Source organism: Homo sapiens, chromosome X (assembly GCF_000001405.40).
Source record: "Homo sapiens chromosome X, GRCh38.p14 Primary Assembly".
Classification (NCBI taxonomy): Eukaryota; Metazoa; Chordata; class Mammalia; order Primates; family Hominidae; genus Homo; species Homo sapiens.
Genome location: NC_000023.11, coordinates 147,698,611 through 147,707,494, shown reverse-complemented (window position 1 = coordinate 147,707,494; position 8,884 = coordinate 147,698,611). Strand labels below are relative to the sequence as shown.

The 8,884-nt window shown below is 38.0% G+C and overlaps 1 annotated feature.

Annotated features, from left to right (window-relative positions):
- Positions 7,828-8,627: an enhancer, noted in NCBI's record as "OCT4-NANOG hESC enhancer chrX:146780386-146781185 (GRCh37/hg19 assembly coordinates)". NCBI's record gives its function as "activates a minimal SCP1, AML or CMV promoter by ChIP-STARR-seq in naive H9 embryonic stem cells {active_cell/tissue: H9 hESC(naive)}" and the evidence as "EXISTENCE:reporter gene assay evidence [ECO:0000049][PMID:30033119]".

Here is an 8,884-nt window from a genome sequence, read left to right as displayed (position 1 = left end):
TCATTGCTACACAGCATTTTACAGAGAGGGGAAAGCTATGATTTAATTAATAGTTGCTTGATAAAGATTCGGAAACTCAAAGGTGAGGCTGATTGCCTAAGAGAAGTTAAAGGTCCAAGTCTTCCCATGCTATATATTTTAGTTTTCTTTGGTTGCTGAATTTCAGCTGAAACCAAATATATACTTTTGGCTTCAAACTGAATTACAAATTCTATTAAATACCAAATACTTTGCTCTTACAGATTCACAATGAAATTTATATTACAATGTGCAATATAGCTGCAAATTTCTGAATTTAAATAAGGGTCCACAGTCATTGTATATTAGATACCTAGGGATATTGTGCTTTATACAATTTGTGGTTGAAGGATGCCATATTGTTAGGGAGCAATCTTCATGGCTTTCGGAAGGTTATTTTTCGGATTTATGATTCAAATGAAAAAGGACTGACAAAACCTTCTCCTTCAATTGTATGTCGATCTAAAAGAGAATTTTTAGTGAATTGACATGTAGAGTTTTAATGGAAGTAGATTTTTCCACCACAAACCACCCCCTTGGGGTTGCAATGTTAAAAAAAAAAAACAATTCAGAGATTCAAGCAAATCAATACTGAGGTCCAAAGTGTTGGTTGTTGAAGATATGTATTATCAGAGTTAGGGAACACTATTTGAATAACTTTATCCCCAGAGGAAAAAGGTACAACAAAAACAAACTGCATCTGATCATTTGCAAATCTTTCATTTAGCTACAAAATGAGGGCAATTTATTGGCAGATAGACTGTGGGCTGAGAAAAGGAAGCAGGGAGATACACGTATATGTATATATATATGTATGTGTATATGTAATCTTTGAGGAATCCTAGATTTCAAGGGAGAAAATCTCAAAACTCCTTAGAGGTTTTTCTTGAAGTGTCACCTTCCTCTATAAGGTAAATCTGCTCGCTCTGTCCTTATACTGCAGAACACACTAGTTAAGAGTGTTCCTGATGGGGGCAAAATCAGTCAATTTTAATGGCTTGAGACGGACATTGGACCCAAGTCAGAGAGCCTAGGTGTTTTAGAAGTGAATTTTTGGTTTTCTCAAAACAGATTGTTCAGAAGTTTTCTTTAGGTTTTAAATATTTATATTCAATTTATTAAAGTTATAAATCCTCAAACCTAGTTTTCCCTTTGCTTTTGCGTTCTGCATACAAATATTATTCTATTTAAAAATCTAATAGATTTTAACAGTCCTTCGATGACTTTTAAACAATGTATGGTCCCATTTACCAACTTAAACACCTTCAAATATCTTAAACTGCATTTATATATTTAAAATATGGTACTTATTTTTCTTTCTTGGGTCTTCTATCTGAAAAGACAAAGCCTCCAGAGTATTAAATAATTATTACAATACATTGAATTTATATACATGGTGAACCAAGTTCTCGTAGACATTCTAAGTGTTAAAGAATGCAGTAAAACTCCACTTAATAGTCAATTACTTAGTTCTTCATTTTAAATTGGAGTTACAAGGGTGTCACTGTAAAAGTCCAAATTCTCTTAAAATTGCATATATATATATATATATATATATATATATATATATATATATAGATGCCAAACATGTACAAATCTATAATTATAGATCAAGTCTCTGAAATCTCTATTTTATTTTTAATAATTTCAACTTGTATTAGAATCAGTATACATGTGCCAGTTTGTTGCATGGCTACACTGCATGATGCTGAATTTTAGGATATGTTGCATCCTGTTACCCAGGTAGGGAGCATAGTACCTTAATAGCTTTTAAACCTTTGATCACCTCCCTCCTCTATCTAGTAGTCCCCAATTTCTATTGTAGCCATCTTTATGTCCATTAGTACCCAATGTTTAGTTGCCACTTATAAGTGAGAGCATGCAGTATTTAGTTTTCTATTCCTCAGTTAATTTGCTTAGGATAATGACCTCCAGCTGCATCCATGTTGCTGCAAAGGACATAATTTCATTCTTTTTTTTATGGCTGCATAGCATTCCATGGTGTTCTGAATTCTAAATCTTCCCACACTTAAATCTCTACTCACTAAAGAAAATAGTCATTGTTCCAAATTCCTGTGGTTACTTTCAATAGGAGATGCTGACCAGGTTTGAGGCCTGGAGCTTGAGGTCTCATTCTGAGCCCTTTTTGTACAGTCACTGTATCTCAGGTGACTCCGCTTAAAAGGGAATGAGTTTCCTAACTCAAATTACCTAATGCTGCTTCTCAGGTTCACCAATGTCCTCCCAAGTTGACCACTTACAATTCTGTGTTTAAGATGTGCCGTAGTGCTTAGTGCCCAAGCATGGACTATGGACCCAGATTGCCTTGGTTCAAATCTTGGCTATACCACTTATTAGTTGTGTGACCTTGGAAAAGGAGCTTAAACTCTCTGTACCTCAGTTTTCTAATCTGTAAAATGTAGATAATACCAGAAACTACATCATAAGTTTTTTTAATGAGAATTAAATGCATTAATGCAAGTAAAACCCTTTGAAATAGACCCTGGCTCATAGTTGATGCTATATAGATGTTAACTGTTGTTATCATTATATGTATTTTCCTTTAAACTCTAAAGATCTTTGATTAGTATATGTACATATCTTTTCCATTTAATTTTAAAAATCTTTGAACTTAATGGACTTTTGTAGTCATCCATATTTATACAGCATACAATTTCCTTAAATGTTAAAATATCTAATTATATTTGAATTTGACCCTGATGTGGTCACAGCTTGTAATTCTACAGACTTGTTTTAGATTCAACTCTGTGCACCTAAAAAATAACTTGCTCGAGTTACTTAACCTCTCCATGTCTCAATTTCCTTATCTGAAAGAATGGGGATAATAATCCCTAGCATACTCTGTCATTCAATAAATACTGAATATTTATTGAGTACTCCCTATGTCCTAGGCACTATCCTAGGTTCTTTGAATACATTATTGAACAAAGCAGACAAATGTCCTTGCCTTCTTTTTATTCTAGCAAGGGTCGGGGTGGGGGTGGCAGGGAACAAGTGGTAGGGGGAGAAAACATAATGAATGAATCAATTATACATTAGGAGGTGATGAGTGCTAATGTAATGCTAATGAAAACATAGAAGCGGTTAAGAGGAATCAAATTTGCAGGTAGGGTTTTGGATGTCAGTTATAATATTGCCTAGGGTGACTGGTGTAGGCCTTTGGGGAGTATGAGATTTGAGTAAAGACTTGGAGGTGAGAGAATAAGCCAAGGGATACCTGGGGAAGAGCATTTAAGAAAGAAAGAATGATATATTAGTCAGCTTCTGCTGCAGCAACAACTCTAATTTTCCAGGCTCTGACAAACACAAGTACTTATTTTTTTGCTTATATTACATGGCTAATAGCCATTCCCACAATTTTTTTAGAGGCTTCCTCTCTTTGGATTTAATTATAAGTATTTAATAATTTGTGATTATAAGTATTTAAGCTTATCAGAGGCTGGTAAATATATTCCATTACAGGGAAGTACATCAAGATTAGGGAGCATGAAGAAAGAATGAACACAATAGGTCTGGCTGTTCATTCCTTGGATGTCTCCAGTGTCCTCTATTTTTTGAAGAATCCCCGGAAATGTAATCCTCAGAATGTTCTTGATATCATTGAATTATTTTGTTGTATATACCTGAAGAAATGAACCATACCAGAGCAGCTTGCATGATTGTTTTGCTCAAGCATCAAGATTGATTGTGTGTACCTTGTTTCATTGAGCTCCTGAATTTCAGTTGCCATGGCTGATTGCTGGCAAGATGTCCCTATGTGACCAACCCTCTGAGAGCCTCAGGCCCTGAGGCTTAAATGGGTTTCCTTTGGCAGAGTCATTCCACATTTGTCCCTGTAGTTTTCTGCCAGCTAAGAAGCCTGTCTTGTGTGGCCTTGGATAAGGAAGGACATCAGAAGCCTGTGCTGGACTTCTCTGGACTCCTTCAGTGCATCTTTTTCCTGCTGCTTTTACTCCGTGTCTTTTGCTATAATCTTAGCCAGGAGTATAAACTGCTATTAAGTTGTGATTTCTTCTAGTGAATCAGTAAGCTTAAGGAGGTTTAAAACATCTGATGCGAGAAAAGAGTTCATGACTGTTGCCACAAACAGCTAGAAAAAAGGCTTAAAAGCAGGAACGTACATCGCACAATCAAGGACTGGCAAGGAAGCCAATGTTTGTGGAAAAAAGGGCATGAGAGGGAGAGGAATAGAAGATGAGGTCAAGGTGTAATGGGGGTACAGATCAAGTAGGGTTTCATGGGTCATAGCGAGATAGGAAGCCATTGGAGGGTTTTGAGCAAGAGTGTGACACAATATAACTTAAGTTTTAAGGGGGATCACTGGGAGTGCTGTTTTGATAATGGACAGCAGGAGGGCAAGAGTAGAGGTAGGGAAACCTACAAGGAGGCTATTGAAGTAATCCGGTGGGGAGATGACGACGGTGATCTGAACCAAGGAGCAGGGGTGGAGAGGGTAAGAAGTCATTTTGAATATTTTGAAGATGATGTTTGCGGATCATGTGGAACAAAGGTGCATGTGAAAACTTGTCAGATGTAAGGCACCATACACAAGTACATTATTAATGAGATTTAGAATATCGTTTTGGCTAGAGGGATGAATAGGGCCTGAGAACCCTGAGGAAAAAGGGAAGCTCCTATTGCCCAGGCTGCAGAGGGGGCTTCTCAGCCATTGAAGAAGTGACACCACAATCTTTTTTGATGAAAACCCCAAGAAACATGATTGGATAGTGCTGTTGCCTCTGATAGTCCCTCTGAGGTCAGGCCTAGTCCCCAGCCAGCATGGAATAAAAGTCCTTCCTATTTTCACTCTCAAAGGGTACCTGGTGTGATTTTAAAAATTTTCCTAAGACTATGTCTGTGTACTAGGATGGGATTTGTTCTGCCTTTACTCACTGGCAGGCATGTGGCCACTATGGCCTCAGTGTGGATGTTTTCTATCGCGTTATATCACTAAAAACACATACTGGTTTCAAATGTATTCTGAAGCCTGCTTCCGAGTCGAAGTCATCAGTAAGGGTTTTGCCTATGTCCCACTTTCTGGTTTCCTAGTGCTTCTCTTGTGTACCTTTTCTCTTTCCCCAGTTCCCCAAAGCAACTGTCTACAACCACACATAGCAATGCTTGGGAAGATGTGATTCCCTTTTGTACCCAGAGATTACACTGCTTACTCGAAAGCAAAGAAATTTGAACTGAATTATATCTGTTGCTTCTGTTCTAAAAATAACACTTCTTCTTTACCTAATGTGTGTAGGAAATAGGTGGCTTTATTTCCATATAACAGATGCAAAAGCAGCTCAGGTAAAGCAGTAAACCCCAGGTGAGGATGCATTTTGATGTACTTAGAATTGCCATAACTAGAAAGCTAAATCTCTGATGGAAGACCCAGAGCTAATTATACCAGAAAGTTAGGAAAATGATTTAACAAAGATAATTTGTGATATGATCCCTGTTGACAACTGGATTAGGGAATTTTCCCAGCTCTGTGGTTTACAGGATATTTTTCTACAAATCATTAGTAAAAGGTGTCAAACAAGAGAGGAAGCTTCTCATTTTGAACTATAGGAATGCATATGTTTGTTTGATGCAGAGCAGCATTACCAAAGCCTTTATTATATATACACGGGGCTGTTAAGGAAGAAGCCTTTGAGGTATATTAACTGTCAAATGTAAAGTATGACAGAGGGAGGAGGGAGAGGAAAGGAGGGAATAAAATAATTTTCAATTATTTATTTAGGACTGTAGTGTCAAAGTAAACTAGACTTGGATTCTAGCCATCGCAGTGCTACTGTGGACAAGTTGAATGACTTTAAGAAAGGCACTGAACTTCTCAGGACTTCAGTGTTGAAGTATCTTTTGTTATATTTTTTATTTCTCCATAAGTTGAGGTTCAGGTGGTGTTTGGTTACATGAGTAAGTTCTTTAGTGGTGATTTGTGAGATTTTGGTGCACCCATCACCTGAGCAGTATACACTGCAACCTATTTGTAGTCTTTTATTCCTCACTCCCTCCCTCACTTACCCCCAAGTCTCCAAAGTCCATTGTATCACTCGTATGCTTTTGCGGCCTCATAGCTTAGCTCCCACATAACAGTGAGAACATACGGTATTTGGTTTCCCATTACTGAGTTACCTAGAATAATAGACGCCAATTTCATCCAGGTCGCTGCAAATGCTGTTAATTCATCCCTTTTTATGGCTGTGTAGTATTCCATCAAGTGTGTGTGTGTGTGTGTGTGTGTGTGTGTGTGTGTGTGTGTATCACACACTTTATCTACTCATTGATTGATGGGCATCTGGGTTGGTTCCCGGATTTTGCAATTGCGAATTGTGCCACTATAAATATGCATGTGCAAGTATCTTTTTCATATAATGACTTCTTTTCCTCTGGGTAGATAGTAGTGGTATTGCTGGATCAAATGTTAGTTCTACTTTGAGTTAAGGAATCTCCACACTGTTTTCCATAGTGGCTGTACTAGTTTACATTCCCATCAGCAGTGTAGATGTGATCCCTGATCACTGCATCCATGTCAACATCAGTTTTTTGATTTTTTGATTACGGTCATTCTTGTAGGAGTAAGGTGGTATCACATTGTGATTTTGACTTGCATTTCCCTGATCATTAGTGATGAACATTTTTTCATGTTGGTCATTTGTATATCTTTTGAGAATTGTCGATTAGCCCACTTTTTGATGGGATTTTTTTTTTTTTTTTTTTTTTTTTTTTTTTTTTTGCTAATTTGAGTTCCTTGTAGGTACTTGGTATTAGTCCTTTGTCAGATTTATAGATTGTGAAGATTTTCTCCCATTCTCTGGGTTGTCTGTTTACTCTGCTGACTTTTCCTTTTGCTGTGCAAAAGCTCTTTAGTTTAAGTCCTAGCTATTTATCTTTGTTTTTATTGCATTTGCATTCTTGGTCATGAAATCCTTGCCTAAGCCAATGTCTAGACAAGTTTTTCCGATGTTATCTTCTAGAATTTTTAGTTTCAGGTCTTAGATTTAAGTCCTTAATCCATGTTGAGTTGATTTTTGTATAGGGTGACAGATGAGGATCCAGTTTTATTCTCCTACATGTGGATACCCAATTATCCCAGCACCATTTGTCCTTTCCCCACTTCGTTTACTTTGTCAAAGATCAGTTGGTTGTAAGTATTTGGGCTTATTTCTTGGTTGTCTATTCTGTTCCATTTGTCTATGTCCCTATTTTTATACCAGTTTCACGCTGTTTTGGTGACTATGGCCTTAAAATACAGTTTGAAATCAGGTAGTGTGATGTCTCAATTTGTTCTTTTTGCTTATCTTGCTTTGGTTATGTGGGCTCTTTTTTGGTTCCATGTGAATTTTAGAATTGTTTTTCCTAATTCTGTGAAGAATGAAAGTGGTATTTTGATGGGGATTGCATTGAATTTGTAGATTGCTTTTGGCAATATGGTTATTCTCACAATATTGATGCTACCCATCCACGAGCATGGGATGTGTTTCCATTTGTTTGTGTCATCTGTAATTTCTTTCAGAAGTGTTTTGTAGTTTTCCTTGTAGAGATCTTTCACCTCCTTGGTTAGGTATATTGCTAAGTATTTATTTTTTGCAGCTATTGTAAAAGGGGTTGAGTTCTTGATTTGATTCTCTGCTTGGTATATTAATCTTGTATCCAGAAACTTGGCTGAATTCTTTTATCAGTTTTAGGAGCTTTTTGGAGGAGTCCTTAGAGTTTTTAAGGTAAACTATCATATCATCAGCAAAAAGTGACAGTTTGACTTCCTCTTCACCAATCTGGATGCCCTCTATTTCTTTCTCTTGTCTGATTGCTCCGGCTAGGACTTGCAGTACTATGTTGAAGAAGAGTCGTGAGAGTGGGCATACTTGTCTTGTTCCAGTTCTCAGAATGTTTTCAACTTTTCCCCATTCAGTATTATGTTGGCTGTATCTCAACTAAGTATTCTGCTCAGGGTATCACAAGGGCAAAATTGCGGGGGTCTATCCCACAGACCCTAACCCGATGACAGATGAATAACATACACTGACACAGATATTATGCCTGTTAGTCTAGCTGAGCATCTGGGCCACTTACAGACTCCAAGGAGAGTGCTGTAAAGAGTTGCAGCTGCTGGCCTTGACTTGCTGGCCCTGCTGGCATTTATTTATTCAGCACACATTAAATGACAAAAGTCTCAAGTAAACACCACTAGAAGGTAATTACCATTGCAGACCCCCTGAGTAGAGAGCAATAATGGACCTGCAGGCAGTCAAAGGTTAGTCATAGGACCACGTGAGTAAACAAGCTATTTAGATAGACTCCTCTACATTCCTATGTTAATTACCCTTGCCATAGCTCAGAGGATTAGGCTGCCCTCAGCTATAACTCTATCCTGAGGTTACTGCAAAAACCTTCCGGCTTTCTAAGATGGTTTGTGTTTATTTTGCAGCTTCTCCCACCATCTTTACTGAACCCTTATGCAAAATTAAGGTGGTGACTGGCCTGGAACCACTTTGACCATCTTTAGCCTCTCATGTGAGGAGAATCAACTTCTAAGCTTCTTCAGGTTGTTTGAAGAATTCAGCTCTTGCTTATGATTTCCATATGACTCCCTCCATATTCCAGAGAGCAACAATGGGCTGAGTGCTTCTCAGGCTTTTTTTAAAGACAGAGTCTCACTCTGTTGCCAGGCTGGAGTGCAGTGGCGCAGTCTCAGCTCACTACAACCTCCGCCTCCCGGGTTCAAGCGATTCTCCTGCCTCAGTCTCCCAAGAAGCTGGGACTACAGGCGCGTTCTACCACACCCAGCTAATTTTTATATTTTTAGTAGTGATGGGGTTTCACCATGTTGGCCAGGTGGTCTCGATCTCTT